This window comes from Homo sapiens, chromosome 10, assembly GCF_000001405.40.
Source record: "Homo sapiens chromosome 10, GRCh38.p14 Primary Assembly".
Classification (NCBI taxonomy): domain Eukaryota; kingdom Metazoa; phylum Chordata; class Mammalia; order Primates; family Hominidae; genus Homo; species Homo sapiens.
The window spans coordinates 102,248,850-102,275,702 of record NC_000010.11 but is presented as its reverse complement, the minus strand read 5'-3'; the positions used below and the strand labels follow the sequence as shown (position 1 = coordinate 102,275,702).

General features: G+C 42.3%; 1 protein-coding gene across 37 annotated transcripts in view, besides 2 other annotated features; it reads right to left on the bottom strand.

Moving 5' to 3' along the window:
- Positions 1–26,853, bottom strand: part of GBF1 (golgi brefeldin A resistant guanine nucleotide exchange factor 1) — a 152,254-nt gene that overhangs the window by 107,194 nt on the left and 18,207 nt on the right. For all 37 annotated transcript variants that reach the window (NR_165086.1, NR_165089.1, NR_165088.1 and 34 more), the window contains 2 exons: positions 16,669–16,774; positions 15,587–15,653 (listed from right to left, as the gene is read on the bottom strand). Coding sequence is in view for 31 of the 37 variants with exons in the window: in NM_001391924.1 (NP_001378853.1) it covers positions 15,587–15,653; positions 16,669–16,764 (163 nt within the window). In the remaining 6 variants the exon portion in view is untranslated. The remainder of the gene's footprint in view (positions 1–15,586; positions 15,654–16,668; positions 16,775–26,853) is intronic.
- Positions 5,221–5,721: an enhancer, noted in NCBI's record as "H3K4me1 hESC enhancer chr10:104029739-104030239 (GRCh37/hg19 assembly coordinates)". NCBI's record gives its function as "activates a minimal SCP1, AML or CMV promoter by ChIP-STARR-seq in primed H9 embryonic stem cells {active_cell/tissue: H9 hESC(primed)}" and the evidence as "EXISTENCE:reporter gene assay evidence [ECO:0000049][PMID:30033119]".
- Positions 5,722–6,222: an enhancer, noted in NCBI's record as "H3K4me1 hESC enhancer chr10:104029238-104029738 (GRCh37/hg19 assembly coordinates)". NCBI's record gives its function as "activates a minimal SCP1, AML or CMV promoter by ChIP-STARR-seq in naive and primed H9 embryonic stem cells {active_cell/tissue: H9 hESC(naive and primed)}" and the evidence as "EXISTENCE:reporter gene assay evidence [ECO:0000049][PMID:30033119]".

Genomic DNA, 26,853 nt, shown 5'->3' with positions numbered 1-26,853 from the left:
ATGTAACTTGGATATAGATTCATCCCAGAAAAAAAGAGGCAAAGGAGAAAGAATTGCACTTTAAATTCAGAACACGATAAGCCATTCAAGCAAATGACAGGTCACAGGTCTTTCTGTGGACTACATTTGTACTCCAACATTCACTCCAACTTTCTCTTTTAGAAAGTTCTTAACCACTGTTTAACTGTTTCACTGCCTCACCACCTCTTTCTACCCTTGAAAATCCTAGGAATACTATTCCTACACAAGGGGACGGTCTCTCTGAGGTCTCAATGCTCCCAAAGGCTACTTCTAGGTGCTTTCTCTGGGATTCAAAAGACAAATATATGATGAAATGTCCTATTGATTATGAAGCTAAATCCTGTTCAAAGTTACAAGGGTTTTGGTACTACTTTCCTCACATGAGACCCTTGGGCTAAAGGTAGTAGGCTGCTACTAAAAAACACTTTTGTTATTTGTGAACTGGGACTATTAGACCCTGGCTGGAAAAAACAGCTTTCCTCATTCTTTTAGCAACATAAGGTAAACAGCTACTAAAATCTGTTTTTGGCTGGGCGCAGTGGCTCATGCCTGTAATCCCAGCACTTTGGGAGGCTGAGGCCGGTGGATCACTTGAGGGCAGGAGATTGCACCACTGCACTCCAGCCTGGGCAACAGAGCAAGATTCTGTCTCAAAAAAAAAAAAAAAAAAGTCCTGGCGCGGTGGATCACACCTGTAATCCCAGCACTTTGGGAGGCCAAGGCGGGCAGATCACCTGAGGTTGGGAGTTCAAGACCAGCCTGGCCAACATGGTGAAACCCTGTCACTACTAAAAATACAAAAATTAGTCTGGCGTGGTGGTGGGTGCCTGTAATCCTAGCTACTTGGGAGGCTGAGGCAGGATAATTACTTGAGCCCGGGAGGCAGAGGTTGCAGTGAGCAAAGATCACGCCACTGTACTCCAGCCTGGGCGACAGAGTGAGACTCCCTCTCAAAAAAAAAAAAAAAAAAAAAAAAAAAAAATCTTTGTTTTGCACCTGTAGACTTCAATGTCCTAAAAATTGTGTCAGAAGCCCAAGCCAAAGAGGACTCAAATGCAAAGTTGAATTTTATTAGAAAAAACAATCAGCCATTGATAACTTATCCTATGGTTCAACTGTGGTCAGTTGTGGTCCGTCTGTGATGTGGTCAGTCTGTGATGCACAGACTGATTAATCAAAGGCCAATATAAAGAGACTAATCATATCATAGAACATATTATAGGTGAAAAAAATTTTTTTAATAGACTAATCAACTATAAGACATTCAAGGCCCTAAAAGCAGCTAATGAAGCTGCCATGCACAGAATTTCCAGGGTCACTGCCAAGCAGGCAGGGCTAGGGCACAGGGTGGAGGTGGGACAGACAATGTGGACAACACCAATGCTATTCTTTTGACCATCCTAGAACCTCTTTCAGCAAACCAAAGCATACAACAATTTCCTGAGGTCACGTGTGGAAACTGGCAGACTTCAAACTAGTGCCCAGTTGTCTGCTCAAATTCCAGAGCTTCTCAAATCACCAGCCCACTAGACCATAAACTATGAGAACAGGAACTGTGTCAGTCTCCTTGAAAACTAGGTCCCTAGAACCTAGTTCCATTCCTGGCACATAGTAAGTAATCAACAAATATTTGTTGAACTTCCACTAACAGAAAAGTTCCTGGAGAAGATGCTCTTTTGGAGTCTTTCGAGGACAAATGATTCCCTCAGCTCACCAAGATGATTCAAAAGGGTGGCCATGTCTAACATGATATGTCTAAACAATCTGTATAGCATCACATAAAAGGGATAAGGTGCAAAGTGACTAATCAGTCATAATTACTTCCACAATTCTTATTTCCTTGGGGAAGAATACTTACTCTAATATTTTCCAGGATTATAACGACTCAAATAGGCTCAAATTAATCTCTGCCTGGCAAAAGCTGATTCATCCAGAAACAACCATCTAAATAGAACTGTCTTACTGAAATCAAAGTTGATAGGGATGAAGAATCCACTCATTCCCAAAAGTCAAGGGGGCTAAGGTGCCTCACAGAGTCCTTCACAGAATGTCAAGAAAATGGTGAGAAGGGCACCCTGACTCAATATCCTCCTTGACTCCTTGCCCATGAAATAACATTGCAGACAGACAAATTCAAACCAGTGCTAGAACAGGAGTACATCACAAACTTTCTACCAGTGCTTTCAAACTTTTTTGACCATGATGGATAGGAGAAGATACAGCTTACGCTACAACCCAGAAAATACAGGTTTCTAACTAAAACAAGTTGCGAAAAACAATACTTATCTTTCTTAAGTATGATACACTGATAATTTCTTTTTTTTATTTTTTATTTTATTTATTTATTTTTTTGAGACAGTCTTGCTCTGTCGCCCAGGCTGCAGTGCAGTGGCGCGACTTCGGCTCACTGCAACCTCTGCCTCCTGGGTTCAAGCAATTCTCCTGCCTCAGCCTCCTGAGTAGCTGGCACGTGCCACCATGCCTGGCTAAGTTTTGTATTTTTAGTAGAGACAAGGTTTCACCATGTTGGCCAAGCTGGTCTCAAACTCCTGACCTCATGATGCACCCATCTCAGCCTCCCAAAGTGCTGGGATTACAGGCATGAGCTACCACACTCGGCCAGATACACTGATAATTTCTATTCTATTCTTTTTTCCCCTTTATTGCTGGTTGATTGTACCAGAAAGCAAGGAAGTGTTCAAAGATGTCATGTCAAAAGACAAAGGAACCAGTCTGAAGGGGACGCACACTGGCCAAACTTGAAATAATGTGAGCACCAAAAATAACAATGGAAAAAAACATATCTGTAATTAATTGTAAAACACTAAAAAATACTCACAAGCCCCTAGGAGGAGGCAGACCCACATTTGCCACCACTAGTGATCATTATTAACACTCACTTCTGAATCTGAAAACTGCCAATTAAAGGGAATGAATTAAGCATTTATCCTGCCTTTTTAGAAGAAATTGGTTTATCCTCCAGTTGATGAGGGAAAATAGTTCTTTACAGAAAATGCTAGCTAATAAATGTAGAAAAAAATGACAGAATTAGAAAAATCATTCTGTGACCAGTGAAATAAAAGATTCAGTCAAATATTAATCAGTGGATAACCATTAGGTAAAAGGATATTAGAGGACAGGATATTTACAAGGTGCAAAAATATTACTTCACAGATTACTTAAAATTACAAAAAGAAAAATTAACGTATTTCAAAATTAGGAGATATGGCAGTCACCATAAGAAGCAAGTAACAAAACTGTTAAAATCAACAATTGCGGCCGGGTGCAGTGGCTCATGCCTGTAATCTCAGCATTTTGGGAAGCCAAGGTGGGCAGATCACCTGAGGTCAGGAGTTCGAAACCAGCCTGGCCAACATGGCGAAACTCTGTCTCTACTAACAATACAAAAATTAGCCATGTGCGGTGGTGGGTGCCTGTAATCCCAGCTACTGGGGAGGCTGAGGCAGGAGAATCACTTGAACCTGGGAGTGAGGTTGCAGTGAGCTGAGATCACACCATTGCAGTCCAGCTTGGGTGACAGAGCAAGACTCCGTCTAAAAAAAAAAAAATCAACAATTGCAGGACAACCTGACAGGATGTGCTTCCTGTGGTGATATAATATGAAATAAGGCTGGGCGCAATAGCTCACACCTGTAATCCCTGTACCTTGGTAGGCTGAGGTGGGTGGATCACTTGAGCTCAGGAGTTCAAGACAGGCCTGGGCAACATGGCAAGACCCTGTCTCTACAAAGAATACAAAAAATTGGCTGGGCATGATGGCATGCACCTGTAGTCCCAGCTACTTGGGAGGCTGAGGTGGGAGGATCACTTGAGCCCAGGAGGTGGAGACTGTGGTGAGCTGAGATCACACCACTGTACTCCAGCCTGGGGGACAGAGCAGGACTCTGTCTCAAAAAATAATGGTAATGATGATAATAATAATAGTAATAATATGAATTACATAGTATCATCTATAAAATACTCTTGCCAAAAATATTTAACCTGAATCTAATCAAGCTTTTAATCCTTTTAGTACATAACATACGGGAAAGAGGAACAAGTTAAATGATACCACAAGGACACAGACAAATCCAGAATGTAGAACATTCTAAACATAAATGGGCTGGTGTCCTCAAAAAGCCAATGCAAAAGAAAAAAAAAAAAAAAGGTGGAGAAAATTGTCTTTTAAAAGCCTAGGGCCAGGTGCAGTGGCTCACACCTGTAATCTCAACAATTTTGGGAGGTTAAGGTGGGAGGATTGCTTGAGGCCAAGAGCTTGAGAACAGCCTGGGAAACACAGCAAGATCCTGTCTCTACAAAAAATTTTAAAAATTAGCTAGGCATGGGCCAGGTGCGGTGGCTCACGCCTGTAATTCCAGCACTTGGGGAGGCCGAGGCGGGCAGATCACGAGGTCAGGAGATTGAGACCATCTGGGCTAACACAGTGAAACCCCATCTCTACTAAAAATACAAAAAATTAGCCGGGCGCAGTGGCGGGCGCCTGTAGTCCCAGCTACTTGGGAGGCTGAGGCAGGAGAATGGCATGAACCCAGGAGGCGGAGCTTGCAGTGAGCTGAGATAGCGCCACTGCAGTCCAGCCTGGGCGAAAGAGCAAGACTCCATCTCAAAAAATAATAATAATAATAATAAAATAAAATAAAATAAAAAATTAGCTAGGCTTGGTGGCATGCGCCTGTAGTCCCAGCTACTCAGGAGGCTGAGGCAGGAGGATCGCTTGAGCTGCTGGGAGCTATGATCGTACCACTGCACTCCACCCTAAGTGACACAGTGAGACCCCCATCTCTAAAATAAATAAAATAAAACGTCTAAAAAGACATAACTACCTAATGAAATGAGAATTGTGCTTGGATTTTGGTTTCTAAAACCAATTATAGCTATAAAAGTTTGGGGACAAACGGAAAATGTTTAATATGAACTGGATATTAACTAGAATTGGCAAATTATTGTTGTTTCTTAGTTGTGATAATGGTATTATGTAGGAGAACATCCTTATTTAGGATTCATGCTGAAGTATTTAGGGGTGAAATGTCAACATGTTTGCAATTTATTTTCAAATGGATCATGAAAAAAATGATAATACACATATACGGATAAAGCAAATATGCCTAAATGTTAGTAATTTTGACTCTAAATGTGAAATATGGGTAATCATTATGGTATTCTTTCAATTTTTGCTAAGTTTAAAATTTTTCATCATAAAAAACTGGAGAGCAGTCCGGGCACAGTGGCTCACACTTGTAATCCCAGCACTTTGGGAGGCCGAGGGAGTTCGAGACCAACCTGGCCAACATGGTGAAACCCTGTCTCTACCAAAAATACAAAAATTAGCTGGGCGTGGTGGCCCGTGCCTGTAATCCCAGCTACTCAGAAGGCTGAGGCAGGAGAATTGCTTGAACCCAGGAGGCGGAGGTTGCAGTGAGCCAAGATTGCGCCACTACACTCCAGCCTGGGTGATGGAGCTAGACTCCGTCTCAAAAAAAAAAGGCCGGGTGCAGTGGTTCACGCCTGTAATCCCAGCACTTTGGGAGGCCAAGACGGGCAGATCATGAGGTCAGGAGATCAAGACCATCCTGGCTAACATGGTGAAACGCCATCTCTACTAAAAATACAAAAAATTAGCCGGGCATGGTGGCGGCCGCCTGTAGTCCCAGCTACTTGGGAGGCTGAGGCAGGAGAATGGCGTGAACCCGGAAGGCAGAGCTGGCAGTGAGCTGAGATCGCGCCACTGCACTCTAGCCGCGGTGACAGAGCAAGATTCCGTCTCAAAAAAAAAAAAAAAATTGGAGAGAATGCCATGCAACCCATTACAGTGATGTAATTCACTAATGCAAATCAACCTACAGTCTGAAAAACACCACTGTAGCCCAGGGCAGTTGTAATACCATATCAGCTCTCATTTCATTTAATCAATTTGGTACCAGTTTTCTTAAATGCAAAAACTCATTTGGAATGAGGCTTTCTCATTCTACATCCTCTTGTCAAGGGTCTCTCAAATTTTAGATTTTTTTTCTTACAATAACTCACTTTACTTGAAAACAAAAAATAATCTGTGGAAAAGTCCCTGTCAGTGTCAGGGAAATCTCATTTGTCCCTCTACTTTTAGAGGATTTTTTTTCAATTCAGGGCCAATCCCAGATAACACTGAAGTGCTTTTGATCCTTTTCTTCCCCAGTGAATGTCCTCAACTACTCTTACCCTCTAGTTCCCAAGCTGCTTTCCAGGACACCTGGAAGCAAGCTGCATGGCTGACTGCAGAAAAACTCTAGCTCCCACACTACATCTGGCCCTGCCTTTCCACCAAATCATATGCCAATTTATTGCCCTCTGATGTACAGTCCATTAGGCCACTTCCTGGATGCCCCCACTTCACACTGGGCCAGAAATGCAAGACAATAATGTGAGTTCCACAAACGGGCAAGTAATTGCTCAATAAGCGTGGAACAAGGAAAGGTCAGTTGTGATCTGTGCACATGTGGCAGCCCTTCACAACTCGACCTACAGTGGTAACAGTGGTAACAGAATGCTGATGTTACAGAAGAGACATGCCATGAGAACCCAGCCAACAGACAGCCAGAAGTGCTTGTCCATCTAAGTTCTTTAGGATCTTCAAAGAATAAAGGAAAGGAATAAAGGCCCCTAAACTGGTGAGGTGCAAATTATCTCCTGGTTTCCTAGAGTAAAACTGAGAGCCTAAAGTAGTCATTGCTCTCCATCTATTACCCTTTCTTAATGAAGTGATCTGAGCTGAAATGATCTTATCTCCATTTTGCTCTATAGCCAACTCCATCTTCTAACAGATGCCAGGAGAGAAAAGACAAATGTACTCACCCTTTCCATAAACATATCCACTATCACTTCAGAAACTGGGTTATCAACTAAGTATCTATGAACATAGAGAGATAGTCAGAGGGGGGCAAGGCTGAGACAAACTCTTCACTATCTCTCCTAATCAAAACAACACATTGAATTTCAAGCATTTGGCTTCTTCTGAAACCCTTTTGGCACTTGTCCTGAGTTTGAATGGGTGGAAAAGCAGGAAGGGACTCTGCCTGCCTCCTTGTTTGAAAAAAAAACAGCAGCTGGCTTTCTTTTTACTCATCTGACTGCTGTCATGGTAAGTTGGGCATATACTCAGAAGTTTCAGGCCTCAAGAGGTAGCTGTGCTAAAGAGGACAAATGCAATAAAAACACCAGCAACTTTGATACCCACCACAAACCACACTGTTACACTGCCCCCTAACCTTTGCTACAAAGAAATTAGGTTTCTCTGTTTTTGAGAGCTAAACTATTAAGAATGCTTTTCCCTCTTTTTACACAATTCCTTTTCTGATACATGCAGTAGAAAATGTGCCCCCTCAACAGCCAGGAAACTAGTTCTGATGGCTAAGTGTGCCTGGGTATGAGGAAGAGAAAAAGAGAGAGCTGAACCCATGAGAGGACAGATTATGCAGAGCTGTTTCTTCTCAAGAGTCTTCATTTCCTAACCTTGAGTACAAACAAATGTTTGGAAGAACTTCTTGGTTTAAAAGTGTCAAATGAAGAGCATTCATAAATCATCTGGGGAAGGCCCCAGTAAAAAGAAATGGCAAAATCAAGTCATCAAAATATAGGCCTCTTGGAGCTACCCTTTTAATATGAATAGTCCCTGGGGAAAAAAAGAATCACAGTACCTTTATTCACTCTAACTGTGCTGAAATGTCTACAAGTCTGTGGCCACTCAAGTTACAGAGATTCTAAGGTGCCAAAGTCAGTCTGACTCAAATTCAAGTCACATTCTAATGTATTACTCAACTATAGTTTTATATTATAAACCAAGAAAGTAAAACAGGGCACAGGAAATGGATACTTTTAAGTGTGCCCATTGCCTTTCCTAACACTCAGCCCTTCACAAAATTTGTCTGCCAAATTTTATCACATTTGGTTCTTTTAGTTCCTACTTAGGCCTTGAACAATTCACAAGCTCAATTCCAAGTGGAACAAAAGCTGATGACCCATTCAACCTTCTTCTCATGCTGATTAATAATGATATATTACTTTACTCCCTAAACTATAGACCCCTGTAGGAAAAAATAAAAGTAGGCACTTAATCAATAGGACTCCAGCAAATTTTTTTCATATAACATACTCGCTTTTGTTGTTGTTGTTGTTGTTGTTGTTGAGATGGAGTCTTGATCTGCCACCCAGGCTGGAGTGCAGTGGCACGATCTCAGCTCACTGCAATCTCACCTCCTGGGTTCAAGCAATTCACCTGCTTCAGCCTCCTGAGTAGCTGGGACTACAGGCATGCGCCACCGCACCTGGCTAATTTTTGTATTTTTAGTAGAGACAGGGTTTCACCATGTTGGCCAGGCTGGTCTCGAACTGCTGACCTCAAGTCATCCACCCGCCTTAGCCTCCCAAAGTGCTGGGATTACAGGTGTGAGCCACCATGCCTGGCACATATAATATACTCTTATTCAATCTTTTTCCTGACAATGACTACTAAAATCTCTTTTCTCTACACCTCCCCATTTTCCAAATGAAACAGATTAAACTTGAGGTATCAGGCATTCTCAAACAGTTTCTTTTCTACCTAAGCGGCTACTGCTAAGAGGCCCAGGCCAGACAGGTGTTAAGTCATAGTTCCTCCCAAGTTGGCTTCCAGACTCTGTTTAAATGTTCTCTGCAAACCTCTGGAGGTTAGATGGACTCAAACCTCCTAGCTCAGACTCTGAATTCACAAAGCTTGAGACAGACAGTACCCTACAGGTGTGTTTGTCCAGGATAAACTATACTTAAATAAACTCCTGACACATCCACTTTCTCCTGGCACGTGCTTCTCCCTCTTAAACTCAAGCACGCCATAACCTGCTGTCCCAGTAAGCTCTGTAAAGAAATATCCTATCCCCCAGAATTACGCTATGCAACCCACCAATGTCTTTGGGAATAGCTAAACTCTGGCCATAACAGCTTTACATGTGAAAGCCAAATAAGCAAATATGAGCTATTGTTTTTACTTATTTCTTTGGCTTGTTCCTTAAGGAAAGAGCAGGAATAAGAAAAGCTGGCAGCAGATTGCTCTCACTCATGGTCATCCATTCCATGCCTGATAGGGACCATATAGCATAAAGTAGAGGCTACAAAATGTTAGCTTTGGAATGATCAGCTAGAGTCATTAGTCCTGTCAAACCAGTGGCTATGAGGGCAGGAAGTCTGACTGATTGTTTACCATTACAGACCCACTTCCTAAGTACCTAAGAAAAATGCCTGGCACATACCAGATAGTCAATAAATATCAGTTAGAAGCAACTCAATAAGCTAGGCCCTGAAGGAATCCAAATCTTGGAGAATCCCCAAAAGAAAAGGTCTAAGAAGCTAGAACAATGTTATAGTTAATATGGGTACCTATACTGGGCCTCAAGACCACCTTAGTTTTTTTTTTTGAGACAGAGTATCGCTCTGTCACCCAGGCTGGAGTGCAGTGGCACGATCTCGGCTCACTGCAAGCTGCGCCTCCCAGGTTCAGGCCATTCTCCTGCCTCAGCCTCCCGAGTAGCTGGGACTACAGGCGCCTGCCACCATGCCCGACTAATTTTTTGTATTTTTTTAGTAGAGACGGGGTTTCACCGTGTTCGCCAGGATGGTCTCAATCTCCTGACCTCGTGATCTGCCCGCCTCGGCCTCCCAAAGTGCTGGGATTACAGGCGTGAGCCACCGCACCCGGCCCTCCACCTTAGTCTTACACTGAGAACCCCAGTCCTGATAACCAAAACTGGACATTAGGTCCTCAGAGCTAAAAAGACCTGGGACTAAATCTCCAAAGGCAAACTCCTCACCACCACACCCTCACACGCACATAGACACACGCACACCCTAAGAAGTCTTCCTCAAGCCCTGGCCCTGAAGGCTTTAAAGTAAGTCATTAAAAGATGATCCCATAAGAGAAGATTTTGGTTGTGATACTTTCTTTCATTCATTCATTCATTCATTCATTCATTGAAAGGGTCTCACTCTTGTCACTCAGGCTAGAGTACAGTGGCGCAATCATGGGTCACTGTAACCTCGAACTCCTGGGCTCAAGTGATCCTCTCGCCTCAGCCTAAGTAGCTGGAACTACAGTTGTACGCCACCATACCCAACTAATTTTTTTTATTTTTATTTTTGTAGAGATGGGGGGAATCTTGGTATGTTGCCCATGCTGGTCTCGAACTCCCAGCCTCAAGTAATCCTGCTGTCTTGGCCACCCAAAGTGCTAGATTACAGATGTGGGTCACTGCACCTAGCCTGGTTGTGATACTTTTAGACTGTTCCTCTCCTGTTTTAAACCAAAAATTTTCTGGAAAAGAATCTCTTTGTAATGATCTAAGTTTAAAGACCAAGGACAAAGACAGACTATATCTGGAGGCAAATGACTACAACCAAACACCACAACTCACAACTGACTATAGCCCTTTCCATAAAGCTATACTGGATGAAGGGAACTAAGGCTTGCAAGAATTTATCTAGTCTGGGAACAAAGAGATCAAAGACCACAGACCATATTGGCTAGAAGCATTCCCATAAACTGTCTACTCTTGTCAGATCTAAAACCAAGAGCAATATCAAGTATCCTGATATTTCACTTTCCCTTCCATGCCCCATCCCATGCCACAGATCCTACCACAAGGTCTAGCTGCGAGACTGAAGATAACTCCCATATGCAAGAGCCCCAAAAGATTCTTAGAAGAATAAAAGGAAATGTGTCTTTGGAATCTAAACCCATGGCAGGGCTTGGGCAGATGTAAGAGAGAGGCAGTGGCCCTTCTGCCCCTAAGGCCAGGACACCCCAGCCCTGCAGGCAGCACAGAGTTAACTACCCACCCGCTCTGAGAAGCACAAAGGTACATCACTGCAACATGCCTAACATTTACATTGCCTCTCTCTGCTCATTAAACAGGTTTTGGTTAAATAATGAACAAACTGTATTACAGACTCCAATGAGAATTCCAAAATTATAAATCAACTGGGAAAGCCCAAAGGGGCAGACAGACAGGGAGGGGGGAGAAGGATAATATTGACTAATATAAAGGGCGCAGCTTGACAGTGGATATTCCTGCCACACCTGATCAAACACACTCCGTGGGGGGAGGGGAAAGAGAGCAAGAGAGGGAAGATGGGACAAGACAGCCTGAAATTTGCATCCGGAAAAGATTAAAACGGATTCTTTGGGGATAGAGAAAATACATAATATATATTACTATAAATGCAAAACTGTACTAAAAGCTAACTCAAATGTCAAAGATTACAGTTTGAATAAATTTAAATATAAAAGCCATGTGCTTCCTTGAGTTAATGAGAGAGACATAAAAGGACAAACTGGGCCAGAAGCTGAACAGAGCCTTATGCTGCCTTTGCTGGGTAATGGGTCCAAAGCACAGCAGTGACTACAGAGACTTCCCTCCACAGTTCTGAGACCTGAGAAAAAACTGGCAAATCCATCACTTCTGCAGCCTACATTTGCCTCCTTTATAAACTGAGATATGATTCACATACTATAAAATTATCCTTTTCAAGTATACAATTCAGTGGTTTCTTGTATACTCACAAAGTTGTGCAACCATCGCTACTATCTAATTCTAGAACATTTTCATTACCCCAAAAAGGAACCCTGTAGCCATTAGCAGTCACTCTCCATACCCCCTCCCAGCCCCTGGTAACCACACATCTGTTTTAACTCCTTCAGAATAATCTAAAAGGAGTCCTGAGAGGACTTCAAGACCAAATGAGGGACAGCAGTCAAGTCTCTCTCACTGGTGGTAAGCTAAAGCTTTATCCAAAGTAACAGTATGCAAACTTTGCTCTTGGACACCCTTTTTCTTCCAAGAGCAACCCTCTTTTCAAATTTGGTATTATTAGAATATCTTATTACTCTAAATGCTATAGACCTTGTAGTCATCATACAGTTTAGGCAAATACTGACTGTAAATGTGGTCCAATGACATACATCTGTGAGAAAAACTAGTATGGACTTAGCCAACCTTACTGGAGAAAAGGACTTATTTCCTTCACAATAATGAGATAATATTCCTGGAGGAGTAGTGTAGGTAGTACTTATACATTTTAAAGATTCTTTCTACAAAAAGAGAAAAAAAAATCATTTTGGTTTACTGACAATGTCCAATGAACCACCCATTTCCAACAGTGATAGTCTTACCAATCAAGCCAGCAGAAAGCCTAGAAAAATGCAAACAGAAACCCTTTGCAAAAAAGGACCATGTCCAAGTCAGTTTCATGAGAAACTGGGTAGAAGTCCTAGAATTCCTGCTATCCCTCCTCCAATCTAAGTGGTACACCTTAACTGGTCATCTAACACAAGCACATTCCCTTCAGTTTTCTCTCCAAGTTAAAAACCCTTTCCCAGCCTCCTACCATTAATAAGCTTCCAGGAAAGCAGTCCTCCTGACACTGCCAATCAGAAAAATCTGTTTGTTTCCGTAAAAGAAACAAGAAATTAGTCATGGGTTGCAGAGTCCAGGACCACAGGGACAGCTGACCCATAAACCTGCTCCTGGGAGCCGGCACTGTGTGTGGGGTCAGAAGCAATATGAAGACCATAAATGCTCTATTTTAGGTCTATTCTGTCATTTTCTCAGGCAGGTAATATGCTAAAAACCAAGAACAATGTAGCAACCTTGGCAGGCACCATTTCAAGACATGCCACAGCTGTTGGCCTTGGAAAACACTACTCCCTTCCCTCTCACTCCAGGGGAAAGCTTAGCAACACCCAGAGATGTTCCTACCACCAATGAGAGAAATGGCTCCTGAACACACTCTGGTTTTACTAGTTCCAAGAGCAGATAATCTGGCTGGATTTCTGACCCAAGGACGTAAGGAAATCAGGCGTCAGACTCAACTTTGATAGCTCTTAAATAGTCTACAATTCCTAGACTGCATCATTCACCACAGGTATGGTCTCTGAGGTAAAATCTTGGGACATGTTAGCATGAAGAAAATAAGCATGGGATCTGGATTCAGTAGCAGGCAGGAAATGTGGCTCTGTCAGGATAGCAGCACCACCTCAGCTCCTCAAGGTTTGCAGAATGACCAAAAGGCCTACAAGGCCAGGGTGATCTCAGTCATTTTAGGGTATTCCCAGTCACTTATAACAACAATCCTTCACTGTGTATAAGATGTTTACCAAGTGTTTCCAATTATATTAACTTGTTTGATCCTCTTAATATCTCTTAAGAAGACAGTACTCTGAATTCAAAACCAAACAAAAAGAACTGTAAATCTCCATTCATTATATTTCCTTTCTAATTGGGATATGTAAGCTTTATCTGTAAAATTAAAAAAAAAAATCTGTGCAAGTAGCCAACATTCTAAAGCACTCAAGTACCAGTCGGTACAGGCCATAAAATAAGAACATGCCACCTAGTAGCAGCATTTGCCCTGCTAACTAGTCAACAATTGCCTCCTCTATACTTGATCCTTCTTAGCTAACATTTCCAAGCTGTTTCAATTGAGTGAAATTTGCTCCTTTAAAGAAAATATGGTTGGGAGGCCAAGGTGGGCGGATCACTTGAGGTCAGAAGTTCAACACCAGCCTGGCCAAAACGGTGAAACATCATCTCTACTAAAAATACAAAAATTAGCCAGGCATAGTGGCACACGCCTATAATCCCAGTTACTCAGGAGGCTGAGGCAGAAGACTTGCTTGAACCCAAGAAGCAGAAGTTACAGTGAGCTGAGATCACGCCACTGCACAAAAAGAAAATATGGGCTGAGCACGGTGGCTCACGTCTGTAATCCTAGCACTTTAGGAGGCCAAGGCAAGTGGATCATCTGAGGTCAGGAGTCTGAGACTAGCCTGGCCAACATGGTGAAACTCCGTCTCTAGTAAAAATACAAAAATTAGTCGGGTGTGGTGGTGCACGTCTGTAATCCCAGCTACTTGGGAGGCTGAGGCACGAAAATCGCTTGAATCTGGGAGACGGAAGTTGCAGTTGCAGTGAGCCGAGATCACACCACTGCACTCCAGCCTAGGCAACAGAGAGACACACTGTTTCAAAAAAAAAAAAAAAAAAGAAAGAAAGAAAGAAAATATGTAGGGAACTCTTAGATAACTTTAGCCCATGTTTAGGAAAGTAAAATAGATTTTTTCTCCAGATCTTCTCCCATATTTCTAATGAAAAGAAGAAATTTTCTTATTGTTTGTTTAATTTGCAGAAGCCTAAACACTATCCAATTACAGTCTGACATATGTCACTAGCCAAAAGCATTCCAGGGTTATACACTGCAGGAGCCCTTTGTGGTCAACAAAGGAACATAGCTCTGAGGCTGTCCCTTTCAGTCTGTATCTACATCCCCTTGGTTTTGACACTTTCCTCCTTTCCTGCCAGTGTATATGTGTGTGTGTGTGTGTATATATATACATAAAATAAACACACACACACACACACACACAAATATAAGGTACTTAATGTGTACATTCTCTTCTAATCACATGTACAGAAGCAATATAGAGCAAAGAGCCCTAAACCAGGCAACAGAGGCCTGAATTCTAGTTTTGACTCCACCTCTTAGGATTAGTGTGACCTCAGCTAAATCACTTTAAACTCCTCTGGGCTTTAACTTCTTTCACAAAAAGGGGACAATAGCTGCCATGCCTCCCTCACAGGGTTGTATAAAAGTTCAATAAGGTAATAAATGTGAAAATGGCTTTGAAAATTCTAAACATATGAATATATTATATAAGGTTACCGTGATTAGGAAAATAGGGGGCAAACAAAGGGACAAATGATTCTAGAACACATGAAGACTGAAAGATCATGAAGACTGAAACCAATGCAATAAACCAAGGATTGGAAAACTGCACCCATGGGCCAAATCTGGCTTGCAGATTCTTTTTTTTAAAGAAAATATAGGCCAGGCGCAGTGGCTCATTCCTGTAATCCCAGCACTTTCAGAGGCCGAGGCAGTGGATCACCTGAGGCCAGGAGTTTGAGACCAGCCTGGCCAACATGGTGAAACCCCGTCTCTACTAAAAATACAAAAATTAGGCAGGTGTGGTGGCACGCGCCTGTAATCCCAGCTACTTAGGAGGCTGAGGCAGGAGACTGGCTTAAACCCAGGAGGCAGAGGTTGCAGTGAGCTGAGTTCATGACACTGCACTCCAGCCTGGGCAACAGAGACTCTACCTCAAAAAAAAAAAAAAAAAAAAAAAGAAGAAAGGAAAATATAGGCCAGGCACAGTGGCTCAAGCCTGGAATCCCAACACTTTGAGAGGCCAAGACAGGAGGATTGCTTGAGCTCAGGCATTTGAAACCAGCCTGGGCAACATAGCAAGACCCTGTCTCTATGAAATAAACAAAAAGAAAATATATATTTCTCATTTATTTATATATTATCTATGGCTGCTTTTGAGCTACAAAGGCAGAGTTAAGTAGTTGCAGTTGTGTATGGCCCACAAAGCCTAAATTATTTACTATAAAGTCCTTTATACAAAAAGTTTGTCTATCCTTTCAATAAATCAAACACATATTTTTTACCAAGATTAGTAATCCACATACATATGGAGACTTACCTGTTATACTGTTTAAAACCTCCTTTAGATGACCGAAACTATGCAGCAGAGGATCCCGTTCTTCATCCTGTAGAACACATAGATTAAAGTAAGTCATTATTGGGCCAAAAGAGGAAAAGGAAAATAAAGGACAGATCAAGGGCTCTTTCTATGAATCCAATCAGAAAATCATTTAAGTTTTCCTTCTGAGGAAAAGAAAATTAGCCATAGTTCATATTTTTCTGTACCCTAATCTCTTATTTCGTAGAGATACTCTGGGCTTATACAAAATAGTGAATTCTTAAGTGCTAATCTATATCATCACCATAACACTCAAGCTACTACAGATTGCCAGGTCCTTTATATGTGTATTATTCTGTCTTCTCTCCCTTTTCATACCCACTATGTCATCATACATATTCATTTCAAAGATATTCCTGATGCCATGCTCACTTTTAAATCAATACATTTTTATGAAAGAACTTGAGAAATTTCCAAATGCACTTACCAACTATGTTCATATAAACTCCCAAGTTGGCAATTTCTAAACTTGCTTTTACAACTGGGCCAAAAATTGTTTTACACAATTCTACAAAAAAAAGTCCTCAAACATATATAGCAAAGAAAGCCAACTGTATAACAGGTAAGTTTCTTACTCATCTGATTGGTAAGATATGGCCTACTCTATATATGGAAGTTTGCTGAACCCCCAAGAAGGAGTACCATCACTAAGTCATGTTCTATGTATCAATAACTACCCTGATTTAAATAAATTTGATAGCTAATTATAGCCCTAAAGAATTAGAAAATAAAGAATCTTTCTGATACTTTTAGGCATACTAAAGAGGTCCCAAGCACAGGACTAGCTTAAGCTGTTTACAAAAATATTTAGAAGAAGAATGGTGTCATCTTTTGGGTCCCAGAGAAAAAAAGATAGCCTATATATCTGATGCTAGTTGGGATACAAAAAAACAAGATATCAAGAACAACTCTGAATTCCTACTATTCTCATTATTACTAGGAATTTGATTACTCTTTTAACCATGCCAACAGATCCCCTATAAAAACTTAGTGACCAGGCTATTTATCCATTTCCCACTTACCAGTGGTGTATGGGTGCTCCATCGGGCATTTCGTTTGATGGCCCCAACCACAATGTTAATCTCCCCTTGAATGATGTAAATATTCTTATCCACCATCTTGGCAAACCTACCAAAACAGTTAAGATAATAGTCTGGTTAATATTTGGTTACCCAAAGCATACCCAAGTTTAAAAATCAGTACCTGATAAGGTTAGAATTGTGATTTAACTTTTCAGTACCAAGATTTTCTTTCTTTCTTTCTTTTTTTTTTTTTTTTTTTTGAGGCAGAGTTTCACTCTTGTTGCCCAGGCTGGAGTGCAATGGCGTGATCCTGGCTCACCACAACCTCTGCCTCCCGAGTTCAAGCAATTCTCCTGCCTCAGCCTCCTGAGTAGCTGGGATTACAGGCATGCGCCACCATATCTGGCTAATTTTGTATTTTTTTTAGAAGAGACGGGGTTTCTCTGTGTTGGTCAGGCTGGTCTCGAGCTCCAGACCTCAGGTAATCCACCCGCCTGGGCCTCCCAAAGTGCTGGGATTACAGGCGTGAGCCACTGCACCTGGCCAGTACCAAAATTTTCTATACTCATAAAATCTGTTAGCCAGGTGCAGTGGCTCAGGCCTGTAATCCCAGCACTTTGAGAGGCAGAGGCAGGTGGATCACCTGAGGTCGGGAGCTCAAGACCAGCCTGACCAACATGGAGAAACCCTCTCTCCACTAAAAACACAAAAAATTAGCCAGGCGAGGTGGCGCATGCCTGTAATCTCAGCCACCCGGGAGGCTGAGATGGGAGAATTGCTTGGACCTGGGAGGCAGAGGTTGTGTGAGCCAAGATCGCCCCATTGCACTCCAGCCTGGGCAACAAGAGTGAAACTCCACCTCAAAAAAAAAAAAAAAAAAAAAATCTGTAATACTAAAATGAGATGAAGTCCATCTTATGTTATGAATCCAACTATCTGGCTCTCCTGGGGGTCTTTAGAAGTTCAAGGTAGTTCAAGATACAACTCAAAGCGAGTCAATCCAGAACATTTTTCAAAGGCACCTCAACAATCCTCAGGAAGCATGTCAAATTCTTCAAAGTCAATTGTTCCCAAAGTCCTATGATGCCTTTAAGTACACAGATACAACTGTAATGTCAGCTTGTTAAAAACAATATTTCTGGCCAGACATGGTGGCTCATGCCTATAATCCTAGCACTTTGGGAGGACGAGGCGGGAGGATTGCTTGAGCCCAGGAATTTAAGACCAGCCTGGGCAGCATATCGAGACACTCTCTCTCGCTCTCTCCTAAGTATATAGTCTTCCCTTTGTTCTTTTTAATCTACTCAATAAAAATTTAACTTGAATTTAAAGATTCAAGTTAAAGAAAAGAATAAAGGTTGTTGGAAGCATAGTGTTGGTTTAGAACCACAGTTGCAATGTCAGCGTAAAGGCTGCATCCAGACAAGGTGAAGTGGCTCACACCTGCAATCCCAGCACTTTGGGAATCCAAGGCAGGAGAATCAGTTCAGCCCAGGAGTTGAGACCAGCCTGGGCAAACAGTGAGACCCAGTCTCTACCAAAAAAACAAAACTAAAAAATTAGCCAGGCATGGTGGCATACACCTGTAGTTCTAGTTACTGGGGAGGCTGAGGCGGGAGGATCACTTGAGCTCAGGAGTTCGAGGCTGCAGTGAGCTATGACCCCACAACTGCACTCCAGCCTGGGTCACAGAGCAAGACACTATCTCTAAAAATATATAAATATAAATATAAACAAATGACTGCATCCAATCTGCCCAGTCAGCTCCAGAAAACTGGACAGTGACAGTGACAAGACCTTTGAAAAGTTCTGAAAACTCATATTAACTGACAGCAAGAAAGCATTAATATGATATGTAAATATAAAATAAAAGGTCTGTGCTAATATACCCAAACTTATAACCATAATTATTCCTAGAGAAGGTGCTGTGAAAACAGGGTGCAATCAGAGGATACTTGAGCCTTATCTGTAATCGTTTTGTCTTTTGGGGTTTTTTTGAGACAAGGTCTCACTCTGTCACCCAGGTTGGAGTCCTGTGGCACTGTCATGCCTCACTGCAGACTTGAACTCTTGGGCTCAAGCAATCCTCCTGCCTTAGCCTCCTGAGTAGCAGGGACTTCAGGCGCACACCACCAACCCAACTAATTTTTGTACTTTTTGTAGAGATGGGGTCTCACTTTGTTGCCCAGGCTGGATCTGTAATATTTTAACTTTTTACAAGAAGGTCGGGCACTGTGGCTCATGCCTGTAATCCCAGCACTTCAGGAGTGTCAAGGCAGGTAGATAACCTGAGCTCGAGACCAACCTGGCCAACATGGTGAAACCCATCTCCACTCAAAATACAAAAATTGGGCAGGTGTGGTGGAGGGCGCCTGTAATCCCAGCTACTCGAGTGGCTGAGGCAGAAGAATCGCTGGAACCTGGGAGGCAGAGGTTAAAGTGAGCCGAGATCATGCCACTGTACTCCATCCAGCCTGGGCAACAGAGCCAGACTCCATCCCAAAAAAAAAAAAATTTTTTTTTTTTACAAAGAGAATGTATTACTGTACTATCAATATAATTAAACATTAATAATGATAAGAGGTATATAATTTATGTCCTTGAGGCATTTATACAGTTTAGTGGAATAGATACAAAAACAGACACAGCCAGAGATAATAGAGAAAGAAATGTACCTAGCAAGTAGCTCAATTTGCATATTTTGCATAAGATGAGGCCCCCCAAGAAAGTGAAAAGCATGAAAACCACCATGATAAAGGAAAAAGAAACTGGTACAAATTTTGTCCAGGGGCCATGCGCAGTGGCTCACACCTGTAATCCCTAACACTTTGGAAGGCTGAGGTGGGCAGATCATTTGAGCCCAGGAGTTCGAGACCAGCCTTGGCAACATGGCGAACCCTGTCTCTATAAAAAATACAAAAATTAGCCAGGTGTGGTGGTGCACACCTGTAGTCCCAGTTGCCAGGGAGGCTGCGGTGGGAGGATTGCTTGAGGCCGGTAGATTGAGGCTGCGGTGAACCGCGTTCGTGCCACTGCACTCAAGCCTGGGCAACAGAGCGAGACTCTGTCTTAAAATAATAATAATAATGTGTCCATGCCCATGACAGCTCCCCAGTCCACAAGGGAATCCAACACAAGATTTATATTAATGACAATTTAAAAAACTAGGTTAATCTCAGAAGACTATCTGCTTTCCAAATGCTCTAGGAACACAACAACGTTCTCTTCTGAGAAGTGTCAATGATATGAATGTACAACCACGCTCTCTTCTGAGGAGGAGGAGAACTTAGAAATAGAAGAAAGATATATTCAAAAATGATTTAAAGTATCAGAAGAGAAAAGATTAAATCTTTCCTGGTATTTCCCTTTCCTTAAATTATGTAGGCAAGATGAATATGCTCTAGGTCTCTGGAAGGACTTGTAAGAAAATGCTAAGAGGTTACGGCCTCCAGGGAAAGAAACTGGATGACTATGGAACTGAGTGGTGGAGGAGTGAAAGGAAGACTAACTTTTCTCTGTATATTCTTTTTTACCTTTTGAATTTTGTGTCACAAACATATATTACCTATTAACTACTTTTAAATTTTAATCAGCTGATTGACTAAAAATGAATAAGCCCTTTAGAAAAGAAGTAACCACTTTCTAAGACAGCAAAGGTCTAAGCAAAAAATCATTGTAAAAAAGAAACATCTAGGGCTGGGCGCAGTGGTTCACGCCTATAATCCCAGCACTCTGGGAGGCTGAGGTGGGCAGATCACCTGAGGTTGGGAGTTCAAGACCAGCCTGGCCAACATGGTGAAACGCCACCTCAACTAAAAATACAAAAATTAGCCAGGTGTGGTGACACACACCTGTAATCCCAGCTGCTTGGGAGGCTGAGGCAGGAGAATCACTTGAACCCAGGAGGTGGAGGTTACAGTGAGCCGAGATCGCGCCACTGCATTCCAACCTGGGCAACAGAGTGAGACTCTGTCTCAAAAAAAAAGAAACATCTAGGGAATGAAGAGGAATTATTTTCAAGTACTATGCAGAGCTGCCTAATCTCCTTCTAGGTCTCTGAGTATGTCCCCTCACTCAGGGAATCTCCAAACAGTTGTGCCCTTCAGCTTCAGATGGGAAACTGATGAACCACTTGCTGCCTGGTAGCCAATGGCCAAGAAATCCCTTGTCACAAGGTCATAAAGGCCTGCAGAAACCTCATAAAAGTATAGTAGAAACGAACTTAAGATTTATCTTGTGTCAGAAATAACAAGAGAAATACATTCATTATGTACCCACACAAATGAAAAATTAATAGAAAAAAATAAATAAGAGAGGGAACAACTAAATAAATACCAACTAACACCCTTAGCCAGATAAGCCACTGGCCCAGAGACTCTGAGTAACATGTACCCTTGAAACCACTGTCCATTTAAAGCTGGGTCTAGAACATTCCCCTAGTGCTTTGTGGCATCCCAGTTACCTCAACAGGATCCAAAGAGGAGTCACTGTATCACTTGGCAACTCTGTCTATATCCAACAAAAGCAGGAGAAAAAGAAACAATAAATTGTATTCTTATTTAATGGAATACCAAAAATATATCTCAGGTTATTTAAATATGAAAAGCAAAACTTGAAATCTCTTAGAAGCTAATATATGAGAATATTTTCTTTTTGATTTTTTTTTAGAGATAGGGTCTTGCCATGTTGCCCAGGCTGGACTCAAACTCCTAGGCTCAAGCAATCCTTCCACAACAGCCTCTTGGGTAGCTGGGACAACAGGTGTGTGCCACAGCACCTGGCTACAGGAGAGTATTTTTATAAACTCAGCATAAGGGAGAAGTACCTAAACAAGAAACAAAAAGCAAAACCTCTTTAAAAAATTGGTGAATTCAACCATGTTAAAATTAAAAATGCCTGTTCAAAAGACAACATAAAAAAGAGGGAAAAGATAAGGCACAAACCAGAAGAAAATATTTGAGGCACATATAACTAATATAAAGGAGTAATATCCAGAGTATACAATAACTGCTACAAAACTATAAGAACTAGACATATAACCCCTCCCCAAAATTGGCAACAGAGATGAATAGGTGTTTCACAGAATAGGAAACATAAACAGCAAATAAATATATGAAAAGATTATTAGCTTCATTAATAATCAGGAAAATTACAAAATAAGATTATAATGATATACCACTTTACATTCCTGAAATAGCAAAACACTTTAAATCTGATAATACTTAAAAGGCCAGGTGCTCACGCCTATAATCCAGCATTTTAGGAGGCCGATGCAGGAGGATCACTTGAGCCAAGGAGTTTGAGAACAGCCTGGGCATCATAGCAAAACTCCATCTCTACAAAAAATTTAAAAATTAGTAGGGCATGGTGGCATGTGCCTGTAGTCCCAGCTACTTGAGAGGCTGAAGTGGGAGGATCACTTGAGCCTAGGAGGTCAAGGCTGCAGTGAGCCACGATCACACCACTGTACTCCAGCCTGGACAACAGAGTAAGACCCTGTCTCAAAAAAAAAATTGTTTTTAAGTTGGTAAAAAATGCAGACCAAGTGGCTGGTATGTATCTAAATTAATATGAATTTGAATAACAATTTGGCATTATCTTACAAAGCTAAAGCACTTCATATCCTATATTTCAGCAATTCCACTTCTAGGACTATACCCCAGAGAAGCTCACACAAAAAAATTGAGAATAGTGGCAAGCGGCAGGGAGTGTGGGGGAACTAACAGGGAAGGGCATACATACATGCAGCCTCAGTTTTGGTGATGTTATTTTTCAAGCTGGGTGGCAGCCATTGGTGCCCCATATAAGCTACACATATTCTTTGTCTAAAATAGCCCCTCGGCTGGGGGCAGTGGCTCATGCTTGTAATCCCAGCACTTTGGGAGGCCAAAGCAGGCAGATCAACTGAGGTCAGGAGTTTGAGACCAGCCTGGCCAGCATGGTGAAACCCCCACTCTACTAAAAATACAAAAATTAGCTGGGCATGATGGCAGGGGCCTGTAATCCCAGCTACTCAGGAGGCTGAGGCAGGAGGATTGCTTGAACCCAGGAGGTGGAGGTTGCAGTAAGCCAAGATTGCATCACTGGTCTCCAGCCTGGGCAGCAGAGCAAGACACCGGCTCAAAAAATAATAATAATAAAATAAAATAAAAGACCCTAAAAAGTTAAAAAGTTCCTTTTTTTTTTTTGAAACAGGGTCTCATTCTGTCGCCCAGGCTGGAGTGCAGTGGTACAATCTTGACTCACTGCAATATCTGCTTCCCAGGCTCAAGCGATCCTCCCACCTCAGCCTCCCAAGTAGCTGGAACTACAGGCATGAGTCACCATGCCTGGCTAATTTTTTTGTATTTTTTGTAGAGACAACATTTTGCCATGTTGCCCAGGCTGGTCTCAAACTCCAGAGCTCAAAGCAATCTGCCTGCCTTGGCCTCCCAAAATGCTGGGATTATAGGTGTGGGCCACCACGCCACATCATTCCTACTTTTTAAAGTCATGGTCTTTGCTGCCTCTTTGCCTTTGCATATGAAGCTCCCTTTCTATTCTGAATGTTTTTTCTCACTCTTGTCCACCTGATAAACCCTTACTCATTCCATCCAAAAGTCAATGAGGGAGTCAGAATATCACAGTGGTTCTAAGAACAATCTTAAAACCACTTATTTATTTATTTATTTATTTTTCCACTTTTTTTTTTTTTTTGAGACAGCGTTTCCCCCTTGTTGCCCAGGCTGGAGTGCAATGGCACAATCTCGGCTCACCGTAACCTCTGCCTCCCAGGTTTAAGCGATTCTCCTGCCTCAACCTCCCAGCAGCTGGGATTACATTCATGCGCCACCATGCCGGGCCAATTTTGTATTTTTAGTAGAGATGAGGTTTCTCCGTGTTGGTCAGGCTGGTCTCAAACTCCCGGCCTCAGGTGATCTGCCCACCTCGGCCTCCCAAAGTGCTGGGATTACAGGTGTGAGCCACTGCGCCCAGCCCTTTTTTCCACTTTTTTAGCAGAGTATTTTTAGTAGAGTTGGGGTTTCACCATGTTGGCCAGGCTGGTCTCAAACTCCTGGTCTCAAACTCCTGACCTCAAGTGATCTGCCTGCCTCGGCCTCTCAAAGTGCTGGGATTATAGGCATGAACTACCATGCCCGGCCACCCACAGCACTTTGTAGTTATCTCTAAACATATCTTGGCTGGGGACAGTGGCTGATGTCTGTGATCCCAGCACTTTGGGAGGCCAAGGAGGGAGCATCAGTTGAGCCTAGAAGTTCAAGACCAGCTTAGGCAACATGGCGAGACCCTGTCTCTACAAAACATAAAGAAAAATTGGCCAGGTGTGGTGGCGCACACCTGTTGTCCCAGCTACTTGGGAGGCTAAGGCAGGAGGATCACTTGAGCCCAGGAGTTCCAGGTTGCCTTGCGGTATGATCGTGCCACTGTACTCCAGCCTGGGTGACAGAGTGAGACTCTGCCTCAAATAAATAAATGAAAATAAAAATAAACACATCTTATACTAATTTATAATTATTTATTTAGTGTATCACCACCATGGGACTATCAGGCTCTATCTCAGGGGGAAAGACCATGATTTATTTACCCTTTTATCTCCAAAGCCTGACACATAGTAAGAAAAATGATCAATAAATACTAGATGAACAAATGAAATAACATCAAGACTGACTCTTCAAGAGTGGTACAGCACACATCCACCTCATGAGAAAAATGACTTCATAGAAGACAATAACTCTGAGCCACACTGGCAAACCTTTTTTTGATAATATATATTTGCTTCTCTACCAGAAGTTACAAACCTTCCATACAGGTAAAAAGAACCCACATTTACCTACCAGCCATATCATAATGCTTCTTTTTTCACGTCTATCTTCCTGACATCTCCTTAAGTGTTATTTGCACATTCACATTTTTGTGAAATATATAATTTTTAATGTAACTGTCAATTCTTCATATATGCCTTATTTTCTTTGGCTCTAAATAGCTGTTTTTAGTACACTAGTGTTTAAGTGGTTTTTTTTTTTTTCTTAATCACTTTTATGGGGTTTGGTTTTGTGTTTGTTTGGTTGTTTGTTTTGAGACAGAGTTTCGCTCTTGTCGTCTAGGCTGGAGTGCAGTGGCGCAATCTCGGCTCACTGCAACCTCCACCTCCAGGGTTCAAGTGATTCTCCTGCCTCAGCCTCCCGAGTAGCTGGGATTACAGGCGCCCACAACCACGCCTAGCTAATTTTTATATTTTTAGTAGAGACAGCGTTTCACCATGTTGGCCAGGCTGGCCTTTAACTCCTGACCTCAGGTGATCTGCCTCCCTTGACTTCCCAAAGTGCTGGCATTACAGGCATGAGCTACCACGCCCGGCCTCTTAATCACTTTTAAACATTTCCTTGGCCAGGTGCAGTAGCTCTCATCTTTAATCCCAGCACTTTAGGAGGCCAAAGCAGGAGGAATGGTTGAGCTCAGGAGTCAGAGACCAGCCTAGGCAACATAAATTAAAAAAAAAAAAAAAAAAATTAGTGGGACATAGTGATACATGCCTGTAGTTCCAGCCACTAGGGAGCCTAAGGTAGGAGGATCAGTTGAGCCAAAAAAAATCAAGGCTGCAATGGGCTATGATGACACCACTGGACTCTGGGCAACATAGTAAAATCCTGTGTCTACAAAAAACACAAAAATCAGGCAGGCGTGGTGGCACGCACCTATAGTCCCAGCTACTCAGGAGGCTGAGATGGGAGGATCACTTCAGCCTGAGAGGCAAAGGTTGCAGTGAGCCGAGATCTCACACCACTGCATTCCAGCTTGGGTGGCAGAGAGAGACTCTGTCTCAAAAAAAAATTATTCTTATCCAACTAGCAAATAAATTCTCCAAAGGCAAAAGCGCAATTTTGTTTTTCTTTTTCATGATGCCTTTGTGTCTAATACAGAGCTGGGCAAACCAAGAAAAACTGATGGACTTTCTGAAAAGGTAGATGGTAGTAGGGAGCTAAAGGACCAGCAATAGGCCCTTCTAAGGTTTATGTTCACTCAATACCTTTAAAAGCCAGAGAAGGCTGGGCGCATTGGCTCACACCTATAATCCCAGCACTTTGGGAGGCCGAGGTGGGCGGATCACGAAGTCAAGAGTTCAAGACCAGCCTGGCCAATATGGTGAAACCACATCTCTATTAAAAATACAAAAATTAGCTGGGTGTGGTGGCGTGCACCTGTAGTCCCAGCTACTTGGGAGGCTAAGGCAGGAGAATTGCTTGAACCCAGGAGGCGGAGGTTGCAGTGAGCCAAGATCACACCACTGCACTCCAGCCTGGGCAACAGAGCAAGACTCCATCAGAGAAAAAAAAAAAAAAAGCCAGAGAAACACTAAAGATGCAGAGCTTTTAACATTTCCAGAGCTGGCCTAGGAACACATCATAGTTCTGTGCTTTATTGAGAATAACCAAAGTTACTAAACTAGGAAACAACTTACTGAGCTCAAGAAATTTACTTAAAGGGTGGAAGTAAAAGAAGGTTAAACTGGGAAAAAAGCTGGTGCCCTGACAATGCATCACTGGAAAATCCTCCCAGACCTGATAATCGGGTGACCAGGGTACCTCAGCTCTAGCATGCCATCTCCTCCCCCTGTGGAGATTCTGAGAGTATCTCAAAAACCGTTTACAAGGTAAGCTACTAATATGTCCAAAGCTGTCCCTTCTGCCAGCTTGGAGATGAAAAATAAAACAAACCTTCTCTATCTCACTCCATCTTTTAGCCACTCAGGGCACCCAAGGTACAAAGGTGACAGCTGGCAGAGTAGGACAAAGAAAAAAAGTCTATGTGATTATGTATAGAGAACTGCAGTGATTAAGTCTCATAAGGCCTGCCCATTTTGTTTATTGAGGGTCATCATCCAGTAACCATTGGGCAGAATCCAGTCCACAGACATATTTTCTTTGGCCTGAAAAAGGCTTAAAAATACTTTTAACTAGTTTCCAACAATTAGAAAACACAATGATCTAAATTTCCAGTTTCTCCTGAAAAATAGAAAGAGTGGTCATTCTGTGCCTGCACTCTAAAACAGTAACAATCTGCTGAAAAAGGAGCAGTTGGCTCTTCTAAATAAAGGAATGGGTTGAGCATGGTGGTTCATTCCTAAAATCCCAGCACTTTGGGAGGCAAAAGTGGGAGGACTGCTTGAGTCTAGGAGTTCGAAAC